The 23803-nt window shown below is 55.5% G+C and overlaps 1 protein-coding gene across 2 annotated transcripts in view, besides 5 other annotated features; it reads left to right on the forward strand.

Annotated features, from left to right (window-relative positions):
• Positions 1-23803, forward strand: part of TAFA5 (TAFA chemokine like family member 5) — a 262380-nt gene that overhangs the window by 167036 nt on the left and 71541 nt on the right. The window lies entirely within an intron of this gene.
• Positions 9765-10266: an enhancer, noted in NCBI's record as "H3K4me1 hESC enhancer chr22:49062165-49062666 (GRCh37/hg19 assembly coordinates)". NCBI's record gives its function as "activates a minimal SCP1, AML or CMV promoter by ChIP-STARR-seq in naive H9 embryonic stem cells {active_cell/tissue: H9 hESC(naive)}" and the evidence as "EXISTENCE:reporter gene assay evidence [ECO:0000049][PMID:30033119]".
• Positions 10267-10766: an enhancer, noted in NCBI's record as "H3K4me1 hESC enhancer chr22:49062667-49063166 (GRCh37/hg19 assembly coordinates)". NCBI's record gives its function as "activates a minimal SCP1, AML or CMV promoter by ChIP-STARR-seq in naive H9 embryonic stem cells {active_cell/tissue: H9 hESC(naive)}" and the evidence as "EXISTENCE:reporter gene assay evidence [ECO:0000049][PMID:30033119]".
• Positions 12378-13030: an enhancer, noted in NCBI's record as "H3K4me1 hESC enhancer chr22:49064778-49065430 (GRCh37/hg19 assembly coordinates)". NCBI's record gives its function as "activates a minimal SCP1, AML or CMV promoter by ChIP-STARR-seq in primed H9 embryonic stem cells {active_cell/tissue: H9 hESC(primed)}" and the evidence as "EXISTENCE:reporter gene assay evidence [ECO:0000049][PMID:30033119]".
• Positions 14568-14737: an enhancer, noted in NCBI's record as "experimental_63485 CRE fragment used in MPRA reporter constructs". NCBI's record gives its function as "activates a minimal promoter by MPRAs in K562 erythroleukemia cells, with activity observed for both the introgressed and non-introgressed 22:49067053 variant alleles {active_cell/tissue: K562}" and the evidence as "EXISTENCE:reporter gene assay evidence [ECO:0000049][PMID:34662402]".
• Positions 15040-15209: an enhancer, noted in NCBI's record as "experimental_63487 CRE fragment used in MPRA reporter constructs". NCBI's record gives its function as "activates a minimal promoter by MPRAs in K562 erythroleukemia cells, with activity observed for both the introgressed and non-introgressed 22:49067525 variant alleles {active_cell/tissue: K562}" and the evidence as "EXISTENCE:reporter gene assay evidence [ECO:0000049][PMID:34662402]".

The following is a 23803-nucleotide window of genomic DNA, read 5'->3' on the forward strand; positions in this document are numbered from 1 at the left end:
AAAAAAGAAGAGTAAACAATATCTACATCAAGTGGAAGAAAGACAATAATAAAGATCAAAATGGGAATAAAGTAGAATATAGAAAAATAATGAAAATTACCAAAAGTTCTTTTTTTTTTTTTTTTTGAGATGGAGTCTCATTTTTTTTTCTTTTGAGATGGAGTCTCTTTTTTTTTTTTTTTTTTTTTTTTTTGAAGATGGAGTCTCACTCTGTTGCCCAGGCTAGAGTGCAGTGGTGTGATCTCAGCTCTCTGCAACCTCTGCCCTCCCGGGTTCAAGCAGTTCTCTTGCCTCAGCCTCCCAAATAGCTGGGATTACAGGCTTGCACTGCCATGCCCAGCTATTTTTTTTCTTCTATTTATAGTAGAGATGGGGTTTCACTGTGTTGGTGAGTCTGGTCTCAAACTCATGGCCTCAAGTGATCTGCCTGCCTTGGCCTCCCAAAGTTCTGGGATTACAGGTGTGAGCCACTGCCCACCCAGCAGGTTAGTTCTTTCAAAGATAAATGAAATTGACAAATCTCTAGCTAGGCTGATATGAGGGAGTAGAGAGGGATAGAGAAGAAGGAAAGTGAAGGAAGGCTGAAATTACCACATCATAAATAAAAGGGGACATTAGTACCCACCATATGAAATAAAAAGGTTAAAGGGATACTATGAACAATTGTATGCCAATACAGTAGATAGTTTAGATGAAATAAACGCATTCCTAGAAAGACACAAACTTCCAGAACTAACTCTAGAGGAAACAAACAGTTTGAATAGACCTATGTTAAGTAAAAACAAGGAATGAGTTATCAAAACTTCCCAACAAGAAAAGCCCAGGACCAGATGGCTTCACTGGTGAATTGGTCCAAACGCTTAAAGAAAAATTAACACTGGATCTTCTAAAGCTCTTCCAAAAAATAGAAGAATAGGGGCCACTTCTTAACTCACTCTATGAGGTTGGTATTGCCCTAATACCAAAGTATCAGACATCACAAGAAAACTACAGATCTATGGATACGGACATAGATGTCACTTTGGGTTTCGTGCATTCCCACAGTACGCCTCATCCCTGAGGCACGTGTCTCTCCTGCAGCACCACCGTGATGGGGACAGTGACATCCATGCCTGCATCTCCAGCACAGACCTGTGCCCTGAGTATGTAAAGGCGCTCTGTGAATGTCAGTGGGTCCTGATGCCTCCAAATGCCTGGTTGAAGCAGGTTTTCAGGGAGACCCGATGATGAACAAAGCCAGTGAACCAGCAGGCCTGAGCTGGGAGCAGAGAGGGAAGGATGGGGGACGCTGCCGCTCTTGAACCTGAGTGATGCCTTCCAGGTTCTTGATGGTGTTTAAAGTGTCCACTACACCCTGCTAATAATGCCGCTTGCCTCATCTTACATATGTTAATCAGCATCTGAGAATAATCAGCGTCTACAAGAAGAAATATCTTTGAAAAATCTTTGAGGAAATTCTCTCCAGGAAGCCGAGAGCTGAGGGGGCCCAGCATGTGGTGCTGGCGCGGGCCCTGATTGCGGCCATTAGCAGGGACATTCGTGACGTTTCAGGGAAGGGTGCATGGGGTCTGCCTGATGCCAGAGGACCTTGAGCTGCTCCCGTCCACTTCCACCTCCGAAACTCAGCCCCACAAACACTCCTGAGGGCAGGGTGGGTGGGGGAGCAGCGAGGTCTTACGACTGCTGCGTTCCTATTATGGCCCATCTGGGGATTCCGGGGCTCTTCTGAGGAGGACAGAGGCAGGTCCCTTGTCCCGAGCCTGCAGCGTTGCTTGTCCATGGCAGACGCCAGATGGATGTGCACAGCCCATGGGCGCTCAGTTCCGCAGCTCCCTGCCTCTCTGGGTGGAGTCTAAATATGGGTTATTTTTCAGCATCCTGAAAGCCACGCTGCATCTTGCGTGAGTGACGGAGCACCGTGACAGTTGATGCGGCCGGCAGGTTCAGGGCTGGCCTGTCCCAGCTCCTTCCTGAAGGTTATATGGATCACCCCATTCATTGTACAAACACCCACCCAGGGCAGTACTGCTGTCACCTCCTGTTAAAAGCAGGGAAGCTGAGCCCCACAAAGGGTGGAGCTGGCCCCAAGCCCACAGCTGGAGAGTGGGGGCACTGGGTCTTCAGTGCTGCAGAGAACGTCTCTCTTCTGTCCTGGAAATGCCCCTGCTGGCCCAGACCTAGGGCGTCGACGTGTAGAGAGAGAAAGGACCAGGCCTGTGGCCACAGTGTGGCCTCTTGGGCTCCCAGGCAGTCATGGAATAAGGGTTCAGATGGACAGTGCCCTGTGCTGAGGGGTGTGGAGGGAGCAGTGACAAGAGCCTAGAGGAAGGAACCATGGCCTCAGACTGCAGCGTCCAAAGAGGTCGTGTAAGAGGAGGTGACGCCTTTGCCCGTCATTGTCAGGAGCAGGTGCGATTACCGGGCAGGACACCCGGGGACCTTGATGGTCTCTGGGCAGCAGAGTCCGGGGCAAGTCTCCGAGGGCCCTGCTGAGGGCGCAGCGCCTTCTGGACCCCGCGGCGGAGGATCCAGCATTCTTCCTGGCCTGTTGGCTGCAGAGGCGGGACACAGGCAGAGACCCTGCCTCACTCTGGGCCCTCGTCCACCCACAAAGGGACCCAGAATCATAGCCGCAGCCTTGTTGCTCGCTGGGCTTTGAGCAAGTGGAGAATTTTGCTTCAGCCACCATGGTCTGGCCATGGAGCCAGGAGGTCTACGGGGACCGTCTTGTGGAGGGAGGGAGACATTCACAGCCCAGCCCACCGTCCACAGACCAGCCAGGAGGCTGAGTCCAAGACAGGAGGCAGAGAGGCTGGACCTCATGGTCACATTCTCCTCAGGGGGTCCAGATTCTGCCTTCTCAGGGGAACCCAGATTCAGTGGCACAGAGGGACTCAGGCACCACCACAGCAGCTGGGCTGGACGGTGGATGTGGGTGGAGGAGGCTCCAAGTCAGGGAGCCCTTCCGGGAGGAGGCGGTGGCCAAGCTGGGGGTGGGGCATTCTTTGCCCTTGTCCTGCTTTTCTCCCTGTCATCACCCACTTGTTCTCGCCCTGTCCTGGTTTGATGAGGGACCCAGCTGCTGTCCTCTCTGAGCTGTGCTGGGGGTGGCAGCAGGGGCCGGTGCTGGGAAGGCCTCCGTCCCTGGCCTTTTTGGTGGGGCTTGGCCTTTTTGGTGGGGAACAAGGACCAGCAGCCCCACAGCTGGCGCCCTCCACCTCCCTTAGCGCAGGCCCTGCTTTGATGAACATACAGTCCCCATGCTGTCTTTGATGTGATTTGAGATTTCAAACTAAATTAAATAACATAATGAAAAAGCCAGGGACATTTTGAAAGAAAATTTTATTTTGATCTTGGAGATGCTTTGATCATGTGACTTGGAGGGGGGTGAGTGGGGTTGCCTCCCTGTTCCTCCCCTGCTCCGGGTGTGGGGCGGGGACGGCTCTGGGCCATGTTTGGGGCCTGTCTGGATGCCGAGTCATCTTCAGGTTCCCAGACTCCAGTTCACCCTTCTAGGGGGCTGGGTATTCTCTCAAGGGCTGTCCCCCCAAAAAAACCCCAGGCTCCCATATTGCAAATCCTCTAAACTCATTGTCTTCGGACACGCTGTGCCCTCACTGTCCCATCTCCCAGTGCCTGGCAAGGAAGTTGTTGTTTGCTGACGATGGTTGGATGGGGCCTGGACTCTGGAGCAGAAGTGGCGCTTGAGCACAGTTGCTGTTTGCTGACGGTGGCTGGATGTGGCTCGGACTCTTTGGAGCAGAAGTGGCGCTTGCGCACATCTCGAGTATGTTTGTGGTGTGAACATTTTCTTTATTTCATTTTTTTATGGGGCTGTGTTGCCATCAAGAGGTCCAGACCCTTCTAGAAATCTTGGACAGGTTGTAAGAATGAACTTAAAAACTCTTTACACAGAATTTTCCCCTAGAGACAATTCTTTCCAGCCGATAAAATGCCCGGCAGCCCCCTTAGCCGCAAAATGCTGTGGCGTTGGAGCTGATGTTCCTGTTTTCAGGAGAACAGCTGCATGTCCCAGGCGAATTCATCTCAGCACCTCGTGGAGGCAGATGACTGGAGCTGCGGAGGGTGTGCTGGGATCGCCCCACTGGGCTCCGCCCTGGCTCTGCACCTTACCAGCTGTGCAACGACACAGCGCGTGGCCCTCTCCCAGGCCGGGGTCTCTCTTCTGTCAGCAGAAGTGAGGAGGCTCCTCACCTTCTGGGTGGGTTTTGGGGGTCAGGAGGTGAAGGGAGCAGACACTCTCAGAGCTCCTGGCCCTGGGAGCACCCCGATCCGTGCCTACAGCTGCTCTTACAGTCTCGGAGACCCAGGGCCGGCTGCTGGAATCTCAGAGTTAGGGTCGTGTCTCTTCGGGGGAAACTCTGACGCAGGAGCAGGCACAGTGAATACAGTCAGAGCTCATTCATTCCAGCTCCACTATTATGGAGCCCAGGACAGTGTGGGGTCTCCAGGCCCCAGGTGACCTTTGTAGGAACAAAGGTTTGCTGAGCAAATCATGAGAGCACGTACGGGGTGTGTGTCCAAATCGTCTGGACCCCTGTGTAGTCCACACTGCAGTTGGGGTCACTGGCGTACTGCTGGCCCTACGGTCAGGGTCTGTGGCCACCTGGCACAGTGTCCCACCAGAGCGCAGAGAGGGACATTCCCCATGCCCCACCCTCGGCCCCGAGCCGCCTCGGGCACGTCTTGCCTGCTGGAACCTTGCCCCAGCCCTCTCTCCTTGTGCCCTTCCCACGTTTACAGAAGAAGGCTGGGCTGAATGGTGTGCAGGCCTCGAACCCCGGCCGCAGAACTCGCCCCGATGAGGGGAAACTGGAGGCTCTTTCCTCCTGACCATGCATGATGAGCCGGTGCCCCGAGGGTTTGTCTGCGTCTTTCCAAAGACACCTTATGGCGTGTTTCCAGTCAGTAGTCAGACATTCTGCTCATCTCCCTGGGTTCAGAGCCTGCTGGACACTGATCAGTGCCCAGGCCTGGTCCCGCCCTATGGGGACAGTGCAGCAGGGAACAGAGAGGGGGCAGCGTATGGCAGTGGGTGCCAGATTTGGAGGAGATGCCGGGGGCTCGTTCCCCCACCCTCCTGGACAGCGTCCTCCTCCCTGCACATCCTTGTGAGTAATGCTCTGGGAACCTCCGGGCTCTGGAGACACAGTGGGATGGAAAAGGCCAATAAAAGACAAATACACAAGTCTGCAGAAATGAACTGGGGGCCTGGGAGCCTGGGAGCCTGCAGAGACATCCACAGGGGTGATGGTGACTGGGGGCTCATTGGGGTGCCCACTTTGGGGAGATGGTGACTGGGGGGCTCATTGGGGTGCCCACTTTGGGGAGATGGTGACTGGGGGCTCATTGGGGTGCCCACTTTGGGGAGATGGTGACTGGGGGCTCATTGGGGTGCCTACTTTGGGGAGATGGTGACTGGGGGCTCATTGGGGTGCCCACTTTGGGAAGCTGGTGTTGTGGCTGATACCTGCAAATCCAGAAGGCTCTGGCCTTGTGAATACCTGGAAGCCAGCTCCAGGTGGACGTGGGGCTGGGGCTCGGCCTGGGTGGTGAGGATGTGCCTGGTGCCTGTGGGGACAGCGGGAGGAGCTCACAGGAACATGGCGGGAGCACAAGGCTTGGAGGTTGGCATGGTGCAGGGAGTCAAGGCTGGTCCCTGGGCAGGGGCTCTGCAGGCCAGAGGACATGGTTGATTCAAACCTGCCGGGAGCCTCGGGGGTGCCAGGAAGGTGACGGATCACTCTGATGGCCTTCTACAAAAATCTCTCTGCTGCTCTCTGGACCATAAGTTCAGGGCAGCAAGAGGAGTCTGCAGAGGTCAGGCTGGGCAGAAAGTGGCAGTGACTGTGGTCGCGTGGGGAAGTGTGTGATGGGGGTGATTCAAGGGCCCAGGCGGTGGGGCTCCAGTAGAGGTGTGAGACCGTGTGGAGGGCAGAGCTGAACCCAGGCCTGGGTGTATGTGCAGCGATGCTCTGTGTCCACCCCAGGAGGCCCCAGGCACACGTGGAGCATCTGTTCTGCCCCCCGGCTGGTGCGAGCTCACCGGAGCAGGTGTCCAGCAGGCACGGAGTGAGAGACACAGGCTGGGAGCAGGTCAGACTGGCAAGCCTGCTTGGGTGTGGGAGTGTTGAGGTCACCAGGGAAACTGAGGCGGCAGCTGAGGACACAGGGCCCTAGGCGATGGGCACCCACTAGCCCACAGAGGGGCCATCCTGGCCTACCCGCTGTCGCAGCTGCAATGGTGGCCTCCCCCAATCCTTGCCCTCCCTATGAGGCTGCCTGTGGAAGGAAGCAGACCTCCCACGCAGGGAGCCCGAGAGGTGAATAAAGGTCTCCTTTAATCATTCAGACCACTCGGCAGATCTGGCAGCTCATGCCTCCCACAGGAGCAGAGCCTGACTGATGGGAGCGGGAGCTGCAGGAGGGACGTGGGGATGCTTGGGATGCTCCGGGACGCAGGGTGGCTGGATGAGCAGGGTGCTGGGCCCCTGGGTGTCTTAGCTGCGGTTTTCTTTGGCTTTAACTTTTTGTCATTTTTAAGTGTCTCTGGCTCATTTTAGAGCCAGGTGACTTAACAAAGGTTTCATTTACCATTGGGAAGGGAAGGATATTTCTAATCTGAGTTATGGACATGTCAACGGGGTGCTGCTTCTCAAGGTCAAGCCAGACCCTGCAGTTGGGGGCACTAGAGTGGGCTGAGGGGCCACATTGGGGTTAAGTGGCCTGCATCTTTATAGGTCCTGTGCCTCACTGCCAAAGTCACCTTGGACCAGTCACCTTCCCACTGGTGACGAGGGGAGACGCAACTGTAGGCAAAGGGCAAAGTGCAGCAGCCGGCACACGGTGACTTAGGGCCTTTGCAAGCATGATTTTACCCAGCTGACTCTGTCTCTATCACCACCTGGTGGCAGGAAACTAAAATTGCAGGCATACTTGTTCAGAGGTAAGCACACAGCATTGCTTTCTGTGGTTTCAGTTACCCATGGTCAAAGGTAGTCCAAAAATATTAAATAGAAATTTCCAGAAATAAGTAATTTGTAAGTTTTAAATTGCACGTCATTCTGAGTAGCATGACAAAAATTTTGCGCCATTCCACTTTGTCCCATCCGGTCCATGAACCCTCCCTTTTCCTGGCATATTCACACTGTCCAAGTCAGCTGCCTATTAGTCACTAAGTAGCCGTCTTGGTTATCAGACGGACTGTCGTGGCATCATAGTACTTGTGTTCAAGACACCCTTATTTTTCTTAATAATGGCCCCAAAGTGCAAGAGCACGGGTGATGCTGGCAATTCAGATATGCCAGAAAGAAGCCGTGAAGTGCTTCCTTTAAGTGAAAAGATGAGAATTCTCAACTTCATAAGGAAAGGAAAAAAATCACATGCTGAGGTTGCTAAGATCTACAGTAAAAAATCTTCTATCCATGAAGGAAACAGACCTCATGCTGGCTTTGCTGTTGCACCCCAGACTGCAAAAGTTATGGCCACGGTGTATAAAAAGTGCATAGTTAAGATGGAAAAGGCGTTCAGTTTGTGGATGGAATACATGAACAGAAATGGATTTTGATTGATGGCAGCTGGGTTTGGTACTCTCTGCCGTTCCAGTCAGCCACTGGTGGTCTGGGGGTGTATCACTTGTGAATAATGGGGGGCTGCTGCATCTCCTTTGAATGTTGCCTCTGATGCCTGAATGATGTAAGGAAAGTCCCCCAGACCTTGGCTCAGTAAATGTAGTCGTGTCTCGTGAAATGATCTTCCCTCATCATCAGGCCATCTTTGATGACCCTTGTGAAACGACGTCTGTACAATTCTATTGGTTTACAAAATATGCGTGTAGACATATTCTGAAGAGATTGCTTGATCTTAAATTGGGCTTAGAAGCCCAAAATAGGTGACTATTCTTTTTTAAAGTGTAACTTAAAAAAATATTTCATTGACACATCTATACAGGCAAATTGGAAATTGTAAGTGCAAACCTTGATCTCACCCCTCCTGGCCCGATCTCACCCCTCCCCTTGGCTCACCAGAGCCCTAACTTCTGTCACTGCAGGTTTGCCTGTTTCAGAACCTCCCATCAACGGAAGCAGGGAGTAGGCCTCATTTTTGGACTTGGATCCTTTCCCTCGTTACGTCTGTGAGAGCCGCCCGTGCTGTCATGTGTGGTGACAATCTGATACTCTCATTGCTGTATAAAATGTCCCTGTACCGCCATCTATCTGTCTGTGCCAAGGACGGTAGACGTACAGGCTCTTTTGAATTTTTAGTCATTCTGCGTGATGCTGCTGTGAACATACTTGGTGCACGTCTCCGAGTGGCTGTGTCCACTGACTTATCTCCAGCATTCGCCTTGGAGTGGCAGGGCTGTGACCTAGCCACGGTAGGCCCTGCAGAGTGTTTCTCAAAGCGATTGTATCATGTCACGTGCCATCAGCAGTCCATGAATGTTCTGTGTGCGTCATGGTCCCTCCAGCACCGGCGATGGTCAGTGTGTTTAATTTCAGCCATTTTGCTGAGCCTACGGTGTTTCGTGGACTTGGTTTTTTCTGCTGCGTCAAGATCCTGGGCATGACTCTACAGCCGTCTGGAGTGGCCCAATAGCTGCTTTTTATGAAGTGTTCATTTGCGTCTTCCACTCATGTTTATTGAGTTGCTGGTCCTTTTGTTAAATAATTTGCAGGAGCTCTTCCTATATGCTCCATTCAAGCCTGTGTTTATTCTGTGGCTGGCCTTCTTATTTGCTTAATGGTACATTTTGATGAGCAGAAATTCTTAATGTTAGCTAAGTCGAATTGATTCATCTTTTCCCTTCCAGGTCGTGTGTTTTGCATTCTGTGTGGGAAACGTCATCTTACCCCAAAGCCGTGAGACGTTCTCTCGCGTTCTTGTCCCAGCTTTCCAGCCTTACATCACACAGTTGGGTCTACCAGCCGTTTCTGATTAAGTTCCATGTGGTATGAGATGGATCTCAAGGCACATTTTTTTTCTCTGCACATGGAGACCCGACAGATCCAACATCATTTATTGAAAAGTTCTAGCCTTTCACTCATAATGGTTTTATGTAAAGTTCTGAAACACTTTAGAGAGACAGAATGGAAGACTGGGTCTCATCCCTGAATATATTATATCTAATTAGCTAATTATCTTTTATGTCTCATCCGCTGAAAGCCGGAGCTGAGATCACACGCAGATTCCTATCTAGCGGCAGGCGCCCTCCCGAGAACGCTAACGAACCAGGGCCCTCTCTGTTTTCCTTTTCCCTGGGCCGCCTGCTTGAACATCGCAGGGTGGGATTCGCAGTGGGGAGGTAGATAGCTGCTCCCCACCTGCCCCCAACGCCCCCATCGCCCCCACCCTGCATCCAGCCTAGCCCTGGCCTCCTACCCCTCCCATGGGAACGAGGGGCCTGGCCTGGCTCCAGGAGGGTGGGGACTGGGAGAGGTCCCCGGCCTGGTGGTCTTTCTAATGGCCTGACTGGCAGAAGAGGGGCCTGGTGTGATACTCAGCATTGCAGAGGCCACTGTGTGCCCTGGGTCCCCAGAGGGGAGCTGAGCTGACCCTGCAGATGGTCGGGGAGGTTCAAATATGATCGCAGCCAGGAGTAGTTCTGGGGCCATGTCTTCCCCTCTGCACTCAGAGGGGAAATGCCAGCTATTATCCCAGCCGAGAAATGAGCCATGGGGCTTGTTCTACAGTGTCTGATGGCCATGGAGGTGTTTTTGTCTGTGACTTCTTAAGTTCGTACACTTTACTTTTTTTATAGAAGGTTTAGGTTTACAGAAAGAGAGCAGGAAGCAGAGGGTGTCCACAGCTCCCTCCCACCACAGGACACCATCACTGGACTCTCTTATTGGCAAGGTCCACTGGTTACAATTGATGAGCCAATACTGAGGCCCATGACCAGGCGTTACTGAGGCCCGTGACCAGGCAATACTGAGACCCGTGACCAGTCAGTACGGAGGCCCGTGACCTGGTGATACTGAGTGACCAGCCAGCATCCACAGTGTACACTGCCATTCCCTCTTGGTGTGGACATGTCATGGGCTTTGGTAAATATGCAGTGCCAGGAATCCCCGTGACAGCGTCACACCGGCTAGTTCCACTGCCCTGAAACCCCTTGTCGGAGCGGGTTTCACATGCCCCAGCTCCTGGGGATGGTGACATCAGCAGGCCTCCCTCCAGCCTGCTGGGAGACACAGGCACCGCATGTCTGCTGTGTGGGCTGTGGGGAGCATTCCATCCGGAGCCCAGGAGGTAGAGGGTGGCCGACTGTCTCAGCCTCCTTCATCCCCATGGTGCTGAGTGGTTGGAGGGAGGAGGAGGGACTGAGGGAGTGGGCGTCCAGAGAGTCACCCAAGCACCCCAGCTGCATAGGTGATTTCCAGAGAAATGTCACCCAGTCCTGTCTGGGGAAGCCCAAACAGGGACAGCCTGGGATTGAGGGGGAGGAGGGCAAGTCGGGTGAGATCCCTACTTGGAGAGGTAGCACCCCGACCCTCACCCCTCCCAGCATGCAGCAGGCCCGTTTCTGCCTGGAGCTTTTCCAGGGGCAGCACAGGGCAGCAGGGATGAGGTCTGCCCATCCGAGCGGCCTGCAGGAGGAGCCTGGAGCCCGCCCGCCCTCCCCAGCCAGCCCCGCACTGCATCTAAGAGCCACGCGCTCCTGGCTTGGGTACCACCTAACGGTGTGATGATTTACCTGTCTGTTCCCTTTCACCCAGGAGAACAGAGCATATTTCAGGGCAGGAATCAGGAGGCAGACCAGGAGGAAGGGAGGAAAGATTGGAAAACTTCTAATAAAATTCCATTTCCTGAAATAGCCGTAACTGTGATATCAATATATCAATATTTGCAGTCTTATCGGTTCTGACATGGGTATTGCGTGTTAGTGAACGTCTTCCACGTGAGTGCCCCTCCCGCCTTCCGTGCCACACTCCCCTGTTGATATTTATTTATCTCGCGGGCTTCGCTGGAATCTTGAGGGTCCTTGAGACTCCGCACTGCGTTATAACTCCTGCCTGGTTAATTCAATTTCTCTTATATTCTGACTCCCCTGGCAAAAATAATCGGCTTCTGGCCACCAGGGCCACAGACTTTCTGTCATGAGCATGGGTCTTCACCGGGAGCGTTAATCCCCCAGCACTCAGGGCCGCGTCTTCACTGGGAGCTGTAATCCCCCAGCACTCAGGACCGCGTCTTCACCGGGAGCGTTAATCCCCCAGCACTCAGGGCCGCGTCTTCACTGGGAGCTGTAATCCCCCAGCACTCAGGACCGCGTCTTCACTGGGAGCTGTAGTCCCCCAGCACTCAGGACCGCGTCTTCACTGGGAGCTGTAATCCCCCAGCACTCAGGACCGCGTCTTCACTGGGAACTGTAATCCCCCAGCACTCAGGGCCGCGTCTTCACTGGGAGCTGTAATCCCCCAGCACTCAGGACCGCGTCTTCACCGGGAGCGTTAATCCCCCAGCACTCAGGGCCGCGTCTTCACTGGGAGCTGTAATCCCCCAGCACTCAGGACCGCGTCTTCACTGGGAGCTGTAGTCCCCCAGCACTCAGGACCGCGTCTTCACTGGGAGCTGTAATCCCCCAGCACTCAGGACCGCGTCTTCACTGGGAACTGTAATCCCCCAGCACTCAGGGCCGCGTCTTCACTGGGAGCTGTAATCCCCCAGCACTCAGGACCGCGTCTTCACTGGGAGTGTTAATCCCCCAGCACTCAGGGCCGCATCTTCACTGGGAGCTGTAGTCCCCCAGCACTCAGGGCCGCGTCTTCACTGGGAGCTGTAATCCCCCAGCACTCGGGGCCGCGTTTTCACTGGGAGCTGTAATCCCCCAGCACTCAGGGCCGCATCTTCACTGGGAGTGTTAATCCCCCAGCACTCAGGGCCGCGTCTTCACTGGGAGCTGTAGTCCCCCAGCACTCAGGGCCGCATCTTCACTGGGAGTGTTAATCCCCCAGCACTCAGGGCCGCGTCTTCACTGGGAGCTGTAGTCCCCCAGCACTCAGGGCCGCATCTTCACTGGGAGTGTTAATCCCCCAGCACTCAGGGCCGCGTCTTCACCGGGAGCTGTAATCCCCCAGCACTCGGGGCCGCGTTTTCACTGGAAACTGTAGTCCCCCAGCACTCGGGGCCGCGTCTTCACTGGGAGCTGTAGTCCCCCAGCACTCAGGGCCACAGGCCGCGATCTTGGGAGGACACCACCTGGCTGGCACCAGGATTAACTTCCCTCCTGGTGGAGGCTGCTGCGGGGGGTCTCAGCGTCAGCTCTGGTGGATTAATGAAGATGAAAGGGCAGGACCAAGCTGTCTGAACGGGCATTGCCATGGTCCCAGTGCTGGCGACCTCCCCAGATTCATGTGTTGAAATCCTCACCCTCGAGGTGATGGTATTTGGGAGGTGAGTAGCTGGTGAGAGGGGAGCCCTCAGGAATGGGATTAATGTCCTTAGAAGAGAGACCCTCCCCACTTCCCCGACGTGAGGACACAACCAGGAGGCACCGTCTGTGAACCAGGAAGCCCCCGCCAGACACCGAATCTGCTGATGCCTTGATCTCAGACTTTCCAGTCCCTGGAACTGGGAGAGAGAAACCCATTGTGTCTAAGCCCCCCAGCGTGTGGTCTGTTGTCTTGGCAGCCTGCGTACACTAAGGCAGGCATTGCTTCATCTCCAAACTCTGAAAAAGGAGAAGGTGGCTGCAGGCCCCAGCCCATGAGCTTCGCCTGCAGGGAAACCCAGAAACCTATCAGGCAAAAGGAGCCCTTGGCCCCGGGGTAGCCCCCTTTCAAGCCCAGCCCACTGCGCCCATGCAGTCCGTGAGGACCCACTTCTAGAAGGTCAGGTGCCCATGTCTCCGCCTCAGTAGGGCTGCATCCCAGGCAGATTTGCCAGCCTCGCCATGGTGAATGAGTGACCCTGAAGTGCCCCACATGACCAGGGAGCACCCTGCCTTTGAGTTTCCAAAATTGGATGCAGCAGGGTCCTTGGAATAATGACGAGAGGATGCCTTCTCCATCTGTCCCAGGTGTGAGTTGGTGGCATAGCCTTTCCTCCCTGAGCCAGGGGGTCTTAAATGACCGAGTCAGGCTCCTGGGGGCAAAGGGGCCATGGGAGGAGCCCCTGTGTCAGGTAAGACGTTTGTCACCAGGCCCACCTGCTTCCCAGCCCCATGTTGCCCACTTGCCTGCAGGAATGAACCATAGCCCAGAGACGTCAGTGCTTTCTGGCCCTCGCATATGAAGGCTATTGCAAAGCTGAGATTGTGATTCCACGTTTCACCAGCCCTAAGGCTGTGCTGCCTCCCGCCTGAGCTGGCTTCTCCATTCAGTTAGCTGGAAATTGAAAATTAAACAAACTGTGACCTCTCCGGGTCCCCAGTCCTGGCTGTTACTGCCCCTCAACTCCCAAGCAGCTTGTCTCAGCCATCCAAGCCTGCGAATCCCTCCTGCGGAAAGAGGAAGGATGATGTCCCAGAGCCAGATGTTCAGCCCTGGCCTCATGTTAGGCGCTTAGATCCTCTCAGAGGACAGCTCTCCGGGCTGTGCGTGTGCTTAGGGGCTGGCCCACACTGCCCCTCATTCTGTAATCGGCTGCTAATGGCCCTGTGCGCCTTGGGAGTCAGCCCTCCTTAATGGTGGTTTTTATGGTAAATAATTGCAGTATTGGATACCATTCCTTTATCTAGGCCACGATTCCTCTGAAGAAGTCATTATGAATTGGCTTACAGGGTTTGGAACGTTCTTTTTAATGAAGGCTCTTGCTGGACCAAGGCGCGGAGGACAGAATGCTTAAGCACACGCTGGAAGGCCAGGCCTGGTGGGCACTGGGTAAACACACCCATGCCAGCCTTTTAGAGGCTAAGCCCATGGCGGGCTGTCAGCTCAGACTCAGGAGAGCTGCCGGCTGGGCTCAGCCCCACTCCCGGCCCCGCACTGAGGCTCTAGAGAGTGAAAATGGGGGCAATCCATCGGTGGAGGTGGGGGAAGCAGGAGCAGTAGCCGCGTGGCCTGGGCAGGGTCGAACCCAAGGTCAAAGCTCCTTGCAGCAGAGACAGGATTTAGGAGCGGCTGGTTAATGACCCGGCAATTTTGCCGTCTCATCAGGATGTAGGAAAATGCTGGGTTGAGGCATTTTGTCATGGCCTGAAGGCGAGAAAGCACCTCCTCAGTTGTGTGAGGGCAATTTTACATGATGGAGACCATCAGGAGCCGTGGCTTACTTTGAGGCAGCTTTATGGGCCTCTGGTGACTCTCTGTACAATAAATAAGGCAGGGAAACACCGTTCCCAAAGCCTGGGACAGTTGGTGCTAACTTATCTGTTTGAATGGAAATCTTAAACCTTGTTAAGTCAAACTGCCATTGCTCATTACCCATAAATTTGGAGGCCAGAGGGAAGCGTCACCCACAGGAATTTATTAGAAAATGCTAGAGGATCTTTTGTATCCCAGGGACACACCAAGATGGGAGGAATAGACTGTGCCGTATGCTCACACTCTTAAATCATGCCTTGGATGTTCAGGTTGCACAGACATGCAGGAAACCTGTGCCCTCCGTGTCCTTAGCTTCCGGCTGAGTTCTCACCCTGCTAAGCTTCCCCAGGAGCTCGAGCCATTCGGGGAAACAGCCAGGAGGACCAGAATGAGCAGGTCTGAGCCGTGAGTCCTCCTCAATGTGCAGGGAGCACCGAACGGAGCCAAGTTGCCCCTGGCCTGGAAGCCCCACCAGCCCTTTCACCTGTCTTTCTCTGCTCAGGGCATTTCTGACATCTGGGGTGCTCTGTTGAGAATCACAGAAATTCTCAGCCGAAAGTGGTGCTGGCTTGCTGAGGCAGGCAGCCTGGGGTACGTTCCACTCTCTGTGGAAAAGTCAGAGTGCTCCCTGCTTTCTTCATCGGTGCTCATCCCAACCAAGCCATCCAGAGTGGTGGTTCCTTCAGAGGCTTGTGTTCTGGGAGCATGACTGTTGGGATGGAACAGTGTCTGGAGAGGAACCTGCCATCCCAGTCAGCGAGCCTGAGTTTAAACCAGACATGAACAGACACATTTATCAGAGAATCCCCTGGCCTCCCAGGGCCTAATGAGACCTTCAGGGCACCTCCAGTCCTGGAAACACAAGCAAACAGTGGCCCCTCTCTGAAAACAGCTCCCTTCTGTGGCTGTCCCTGGTGCCTGTCCCTGGAGAGTCTCTCAACTGTGACTCAGAAATCAGCTCCCTGATGTGTGACCAGGCCCAGGATTGCAGGCAAAGAGAGAAGGTGCATGTTTCCGAGACCCAAACAATATCTGATGAGTGGGGAGTAAGCCCGGGCTGTGAAACTGCATCCTTGGGGTCCAGATCTTGGGTCTTGTACATAGTAGCTATGTGTCTTTGAAGCAATCCCTGAACCTCTCCAAGTCTCAGTTTTCTGGTTTGTAAAGGGTGTTTGTAACACTGCTTCAGGGATCAGAGATGATTTCTGTAAGTGATTGAGATAATTTCATTATATTTACCAAGCTCAGCTGATATTGAGAGATTTTCATCTCGAAGTTTCCTTCTCTGAACTCTGAGTGTCAACAGCCTTTGTTCTTGGCTTGGTTTTTGGACTCCTGATTGTTAAGCCTTAGCCGATGGACTCTGGGGAAGTTGGTTTGTGGGAATCATCATACTTCTGCTGCTTGCATCTGCGTGCAATACAACAGTCCACTTCAATTATCTTCACAACTAGCATCCAACATTTAATGTTTATGGTAGAGAATTTGGACAGTAGAGAAAATTGTAGCCTAAAGAAGAAAATGGAAATAGTTCTTTTATTGCCCTAAGGAAACTTCTATTAGCTTTTTTGAACGTATCCATTTTCCTTACATTTATCAGGGGAAAAAAAATGGGTGAGATTGAAGAAGTTGCCGCATATCAGATAAGCATTTCCTCAAAGCATGATTTGTTGTGTGTGATACCGTGGCTGGGTATAGAATTACAGCACAAACAGATTTTCTTTTGGAGCTTTGAAGACATCACTTCCTTGCCTTCTCCCAGCCTACATGATGGCTGTGTGATACCTCACTCCTTTGCTCATCACCCCTCAGGAACCCATGCACCATCCTTTTGACCTTTTGATTCTGATGCATCATTGCATGACATCTAGGTATGTTGACACCTTTGGGCACTTTGCATGGGAAGTTCAGATTTAGCTCAGGGAATTTTATGTATCTGTGATTATTTCTTTTCCTCCATTGTCTTTATTTCCCTTGGGACTCTGATCAGAGCAATTATTCTCCATTGGAAATAGAACCTCAACACCCAGACACGTGCTGGTGGTTTTCATCACTATAAAGACCACGGTCCTAATGGCATTTGGTGCTCAGAGCCCTGGATGCCGAGTCCTGAGTATGTCCAGGACAGTGTGGAACAGACAAAAACCCTGACCCCAAGGCTGATGGCACACCCCGCTAAGGAATGCTGCACCAGTGCCTCCAAATCTCCAGCTTCTTCTTTTACATACTTGTCTCCTTTTCATCTGGGGCACTGTGCTCTAGAAGATATCGGTCTCGTTGTTCAAGTTCTGAGGAAGGTCCCCTCCATCACCGTCATCTTCTCCTCCAGCAACCCCACTTTGAACTTTGGGGGAACTCTTGCTTTCTGAAGCAGTCTGCTCTGGTTTGATGTGGCACCATCCTTGTGGATCTCTGCAGATGTTTTTTGAAAAAGATTAAACAGAGTTTCTGCCTCTGTGTGTCTCTGCTTCCTCTGGGGTCAGTTTTCAGCTCGCTCCTCTCTGTGCCTCTGCTTCCTGCTGTCAGTTTCCCTCCCAGGCAGTCCTGCCTGTCTCGTCGCTTTCTGGACAACAGAGGATTAGGCCTGTAAGCCTGGGAGGGTGGCTGGGACCCTCTGCCTCTGCAGCAGGCTTCTCTCCTAAGTTGGGGGAATGGCTGTTGGGCTCTGCTGGCCAGGAAGAGGCCGGCCTTCTTCTGAGGGTGGGATGGCTGGTGCCCTGTCGCTGCTGGACTGAGAGGCTCTGGGTGTTCCAGGGTGGACTGCCTGGCTGTGTACTGTGTGTAGGGCTTGGATGTCAAATGGATCATTTGAGGCTTGGAATAAAACAGAGCACAGGCTGACCTCAGCCCCGGGTATGTAGGAGGTGAGGGAGGGTGGAAGGTGAAGGTGCATGGGGCCAGGTTATTTTTGGCTCTGATGTCCACTCTGTGGAGCTGTGGTCCACACAGAGACACCGCCTGCTGACCTGTCCTGCCAACCCACAGGTTCTTTACAGGCCCTTCCCCTAACTCTGCCTGGGAAATGCATCATAGCTGGGTATAGCTCTGTAGATACTAGGGGTGGGAGGGCTGGCCCCGGCTCTGGGGTCGGGTGTCTAGTGAGGGCCCGTTCTGCCCCAGCCCTTTGCCCACCTCACATCTGGACTTTTTGCCCGCCTCACATCTGGACTCCTCTTCGCCCGCCTCACATCTGGACTCCTCTGCCCGCCTCACATCTGGACTCCTCTTCGCCCATCTCACATCTAGACTCTGTGGGATGTTGCAGGAATTGCCCTCCGCCCTTCCTCCTGCTTGGGCCGGGCGGTGCAGATGTAGGTCCCGGTTTCATCTTCTCTCATTTCTTGGGACTTTGCTCCCGGCTGCAGGCACCCTTCTAGCAGTTAGTTACAGTGAGACGGTATGTCACATTTGGGCCTCCGGCATTGCTCGCCCCCACCTGCCCCAGCCAGAACTCGGGGCTCCCCAGGGCAGGGCTTTTGTTCCGCCAGCGGTTCCTTTCTGGCACCCGTCCATGCCTGTCCATGGTTTGGCTGTGTGGACTGTTGTGTTCACACATCCCAGGATCTGCTCTTCCTGCCTCTGGAACGGGCTTTATCTGAGTGACCTTTCAGGTACGTCCCTCCTCAGCCTTCGAGTTACAGTTTGCACAACGGTGATCTCGGTGTTATTGATTGAATCGCGTCATTTGCAAACCACGCTTTTGTTTGGGCGTCGACATTGGGGCTGATCCATGTTAGTGCAGTTAGACGCTGCATCTGGGCCCTAGTGACTGCCTGTCCCGGAACAACACGTCACAAAGGCAGGGACAGTGGGAGGTCCACACCCCCCACAGAAGGAGCCCTCGTTCAGGGAGACGCCGTGGGGAGGGGGGCCACCTTAGCTTGCCCGTTGGGTCTGCAGTGTGATGGGAGATTTGCAGCATTAGCAGTACCTATAAGAACAAGCCTGGCCCGATGCACAGTTTTATCGGGACACTGTCACACTATTCTTTCGGTGTTGCTGTGGCTGCTTTGTGTCACAGTGACAGAGACGAGGCTGAGATAGAGACTGCGTAGCCACAGAGGCCAAACGATTTGCTGTCTGGCCAGTTTTTTTTTTTTTTTGAGATGGAGTCTCGCTCTGTCACCCAGGCTTGGAGTGCAGTGGCGCGATCTCGGCTCACTGCACCCTCCGCCTCCTGGGTTCAAGAGATTCTCCTGCCTTAGCCTCCCGAGTAGCTGGGATTACAGGTGCCCATCACCACACACGGCTAATTTTTGTATTTTTAGTAGAGATGGGGTTTCACCCTGTTGGCCAGGCTGGTCTCGAACTCCTGACGTCAGGTGATCCACCCACCTCGGCCTCCGAAGCTCTGTGGCCTTTTAAGAAAAAGTTTGCCAATGACCTGCCATCAGAGTTCATTTTGTTTACGTAAAGATCAACATGGGTATTGCCAAGTGGCAGAGATGCAGGACTCAGGAGGCTTCCTGTGGCGGGGCCCCCGTCCAAAACTCTGGGCCTCAGAGGTTGCAGCGGGAGACAGAGCAGGGGATGCAGAGCAGCCTTCAGGGATCAGCCTGGAAAGGGCATCTCTGCTGCCCTCAGCAAAGCAGCCCGGCCCATACACCCACTTGTGGGATCCTGGGAGGCATATTCCTGTTATCAGGGCAGCAAAAGGGGAAATAGGCTGGAGAAGCTTTGCCCAGACAAGTGGACCCCCCACCAGCTGGGCATCTCAGCAGGACAGTCCTGGTGGCGGCCGTTTTCAACACCAAGCTTGGAGAAGACCTAGGAGGCATGTGCCGAGGTTGCTCTGACACCACTGGGTGCAAAAGCCCGGCTTCCCTCTGCAGTCTCCAAGCATCTGTCCTGGCTCTTCCTTCACAGCTGCCGGGGAGCCCCGCCTGCTGGCTGAGGCCTGAGGCCTCCTGCTCTCTTATTCTTCAAGACCCACCCTGTCCTCCCCAGTCTCCAGGTCAGCATTGTACCATTGCACACAGGAGTGCAGCCCTGAAGCCTGAAGGCCCTGCAGGTGGCTCATCCCAGACCCACTGCCCTGTGCATCACAGCGCACCCTGACGCCCAGGCACAGGTGCCTCATTTGCCCTCATTCAGGAGCAGAGAGTTGGCGCCCACCACTGGCAAGCAGGTGCTGCCTCCAGAAGGCTGCTGAGGCAGCTGGCGGTGGGGCAGGCAGTGGGCCTTGGCTGGACCATTTGAGGCTTGGAATAAAACACAGAGCACAGGCTGATCTCAGCCCCCAGAGGGCTCACAGGCAGCCTCCCTGGGCCACAGCAGCCAGCCTCAAAGATCCAGCCGTGTCCCCAGCCTGCCCAGTCAAAGGAACCAGAGTGTTCTGGGAGGGCAGAGAGCCTGGACAGCGTCCACCTCATGGTCTTGGCCTGTCCCTCCCACCTGGGGTCCAGGTTCCATCTGGAATTTGGGAGTGGCCACAGGTGGGAGGACACCTTCTGGGTCTGGGCCAGGTGAGCCTTTGAGGGAGGGTGGACGTTGTCCCGGGAGAAAGGGGCCAGCAGACATGCCTCTTAGGGTGTGGGGCAGGCAAGCAAAGGAGGCATTGGAGGGAGGCGGGCCTCATCCCTGCTTTGTCTTTCCTGTGGCTCCCGCTCAGAGGCGCAGGGGGAACAGCCATCACCACTGTGGGTGATTCTCCCAGGTATGCCTGGTGGTCGTTCAGGAGTCTACACGGCTCCCACTCTCCAAGCCTGTGTGATGTCCAGTTCTTTTGTCCCAGCCATGCCTGCAAATGGCCCCCCACGAGGAAGGACACAGGACTGCAACCCAGTTCTGCAGGCTGAGATAGCTGGAGCCACCCTCTCCCCAGCCAGTGTGGACTAGCCAGTGTGGACTCTGCGGCCGGGGAGCGGGTATGCACTGCTCATGGCTTGGACTCTGATACAACAAGCCCTGCTCAAGTCCTGGTTTCTCCACTCCCAAGCCATTGACCTTGAGGAGGTCAACTGATTTCTCTAAGTTTCTTCCTGGAAGTGGGATGCTCCTTGGACTAACCTCCCTGGACATTGCAAGTGTGAAGTGATTAGAGGGTTCCCAGGATGGTCTGGTTAGGGTGGGGGTCACCTTTTTGAGCTGTCATTACCACTGGGCTCCCAGGGGCAGCCCTGGGTAGGCCTCTGCCCTGCAGAAGACTCTGCTCTCTCGTGGAGGACGCCCCTGCCTGGCATTCGGCTGGAAGCCACTTCTGACCACCCCAGAGCCACCCATATAAATCTGTATTAAGACACAATTATCTTGGACATTCTCTCCTGCCCACTGGACAGAAAGCTGTTTCCGGCACAGGCCAGCTGCTGTGAATACAGCTGCCTTCTGAGTGCCCGTCGGGGATGCTGATGGGCTGAAACAATTTTATTTTCCTGCTGTCAGGGCAGGATCTGCTCGTGGCTCCCCCATAGGCCTGGGGAGCAGGACCCTGCCCGCCCGCTGTGCTCCCGACACCTTTGGTCATCACGCCTTGGCTCGGACGTCGGTTTCAGATGTGCAGTTCTGGGGATGGGGATGCCGGGGTCGGTGGAGGCAGCTCAGGGTGGCCGGGCCACGCGATTGCAGAAGGGACATGTATCCAGGCTGTAGTGACCTTCCCGTGTTCTTGAGGGACTGCTCCCCGGCAAGTCTTCATCTCCAGCAAGACTGACCAGAGGGGCCAATCAGCTGGCCAGGAATAGACCCAGCAGCAACGTGGGACAGCCCAGACCTGGCTTTCTGCCTGCTGCCTCCCTCCTGGGCCCATCTGCCTGAGTTTGGAGTCCAGGCTGGGTCTTCTCCTCCCCGAGGCCTCCCACCCCTGAGCGCCAAGGCCCAGAGGAAGCAGCTCCTGGTTGGAAGTTTGCAGGAGGAACTTGAGGAAGAAACTGAAGAAAAAGTGAGTCTCCCTCACAAGGAGAGTCAGGTCGGGCGGGCGTGGCGTCCCCCTCCTGGATGACAGGCCACCCAAGCACAGCTACAGGCAGCTGTCCTGGCCCCTGGGGAGGGATAGAGGAGTCCTGCAGTGGCCCTGCCATGTTGCTCCAACACTGTGGAGGTCCAAGCTGGAGGCAGCCCTGCCTGATCTGGCATCCTCACCCCCAGACCTTCCAGTCCCCCAGGCCTCCCTAGACCCCGAGAGCTCACTCCCCAGAGCTCCCCATTCCTGCATCCCAAACCTTCCAGGCCCCTGGGGCTCCCTATCCCCGCCCCCGTTGCTCTGTCTGATGTCAGCAGCTCCCTGACTCTGACCCTTGCCATTCCAGTTCCCTGGTCCTCCTGAGCCGCCTCCCTCAAACCTCTTTCCTGAATTCTCTTTCCTGGGGCGGCTGCTCTGGGCCCCATGTTCCCTCTGCTGAGGGCTTCTGAGGCTTCTCTTTCCTGTTCCCTTAAGCTGGGCTATAAGGGCCCCCAGGGAGGGGCTCTCTCCCGCCGGCTCTGTGCAGCTGATGTTCTGGGGATCCTGCTGTGCCCCGGGCTCCACACCTGGATGCAGTGGTACAGGCAGCCAGCCGAGCCACCCTCGGAGAACTGACCCTATGCGGGGCAAAGACACAGGCCTCAAATCCATCCATGTGTCTCAGGGCCCTGTGCAGAGGAACCAGGAAGAGGTCGGGCACCAGGCGAGAATGCTGAGGCCTGTGGTCCAGGGAAGGGCTTCAAACAGGTCCTTGGAGGGACATGAGTTCTGGATGAGCCTGGAGAGCTGGAGCAGGAAGAGGTCGGGGAGCCGCGTGTGTGACCTAAGCAGGGCTGCGGCAGGCGGGGCCAGGGCTGCAGGTGGTGCGGCCTCTGTCCCACACGTGGAAAAGTGTCCTCAGCCCACCCACAGGACGGAAGCCCTGCGCTCAAGGAAGGATGCTGGAGATAGACGTCACAGGAAAACGCATGATGGAAACTTCTAAAAAGAAAACGGAAAAACAAAGTTAAAAAAAAAAAATGCTGGTGTGTACATTTGTGTATTTCAAAGACCTCAGGGTGTAAGGACAGAAGAAACTTCTCACATGTTGGAAGCCTGTCTCTGAGTTCCGGTGCCAGGGCACCGTCCCGGCTCCCTGTCCATCCCTCTCCCGGCTCCCCGGCTCCCCAGCTCCCCGTCCATCCGTCTCCCAGCTCTGCGTCCATCCCTCTCCCGTCTCCCCGTCCATCCCTCTCCCGGCTCCCCGTCCATCCCTCTCCCGGCTCCGCGTCCATCCCTCTCCTGGCTCCCCAGCTCCCCCTCCATCCCTCTCCCGTCTCCCTGTCCATCCCTCTCCCGGCTCCCTGTCCATCCCTCTCCCGGCTCCCTGTCCATCCCTCTCCCGGCTCCCTGTCCATCCCTCTCCCGGCTCGGCGTCCATCCCTCTCCCGGCTCCCTGTCCATCCCTCTCCCGGCTCCCCGTCCATCCCTCTCCTGGCTCCCCAGCTCCCCGTCCATCCCTCTCCCGGCTCCCCATCCATCCCTCTTCCGGCTCCCCGTCCATCCCTCTCCGGGCTCCCCGTCCATCCCTCTCCCGGCTCCCCGTCCATCCCTCTCCGGGCTCCCCGTCCATCCCTCTCCGGGCTCCCCGTCCATCCCTCTCCCGGCTCCCCGTCCATCCCTCTCCGGGCTCCCCGTCCATCCCTCTCCGGGCTCCCCGTCCATCCCTCTCCCGGCTCCCCGTCCATCCCTCTCCGGGCTCCCCGTCCATCCCTCTCCCGGCTCCCCGTCCATCCCTCTCCGGGCTCCCCGTCCATCCCTCTCCCGGCTCCCCGTCCATCCCTCTCCGGGCTCCCCGTCCATCCCTCTCCGGGCTCCCCGTCCATCCCTCTCCCGGCTCCCCGTCCATCCCTCTCCGGGCTCCCCGTCCATCCCTCTCCCGTCTCCCCGTCCATCCCTCTCCCGTCTCCCCGTCCATCCCTCTCCCGGCTCCCCGTCCATCCCTCTCCTGGCTCCCCAGCTCCCCGTCCATCCCTCTCCCGGCTCCCTGTCCATCCCTCTCCTGGTGTGGCTGAAGATGTGTTGTTCCATGAAGCGCCGCCCTCACCGTGTGGACCGGCCCTGCCCAAGCACTCTCAGGGTTCTGCACAGGCCAGGCAGCTTAGCCCAGTGGTGACCAAGTCCACCCCCAGCTCTGTCCCTTCCTTTAGGATGGCCTAGGGCGGACCCCATGAACCTCAGTTTTCCCACTTGTAAATGTTATCCCAGCATCACCCCCAGGAGTCACAGAGGCCTCGTGAGGCTGCAGAGGGCCCGGTTCAACCGGCACCCACCCGTGGTCTCACTGCAGCTGCTGCAGCCCCGGTGGGTGTGGATGGGTGGCCATGGTCCCCCCACCCTGTGTGCAAGGAGGATATCATGTCTGAGGCTGAAACCACCTGCTCACCCCAGACCCCAGGCCCTGGCTCCGGCCTGTCTTCTTTGCTGGAAGCAGAGTTATAAATAACTTCCAATTTGGGGCTCTGTGGGGCTGGCAGGAGCGTGTGCGTCCCACGACCCAGGTTGCTGCCAGCTTTTGCTGGGTTCTCAGAACAAAAGATGGAAGATCTCGAGGAGACTTTAGTGCACAGCCTCCTGCTGTACCCGCCATGCAGTTGCC

This window comes from Homo sapiens, chromosome 22 (assembly GCF_000001405.40).
Source record: "Homo sapiens chromosome 22, GRCh38.p14 Primary Assembly".
Lineage (NCBI taxonomy): Eukaryota > Metazoa > Chordata > Mammalia > Primates > Hominidae > Homo > Homo sapiens.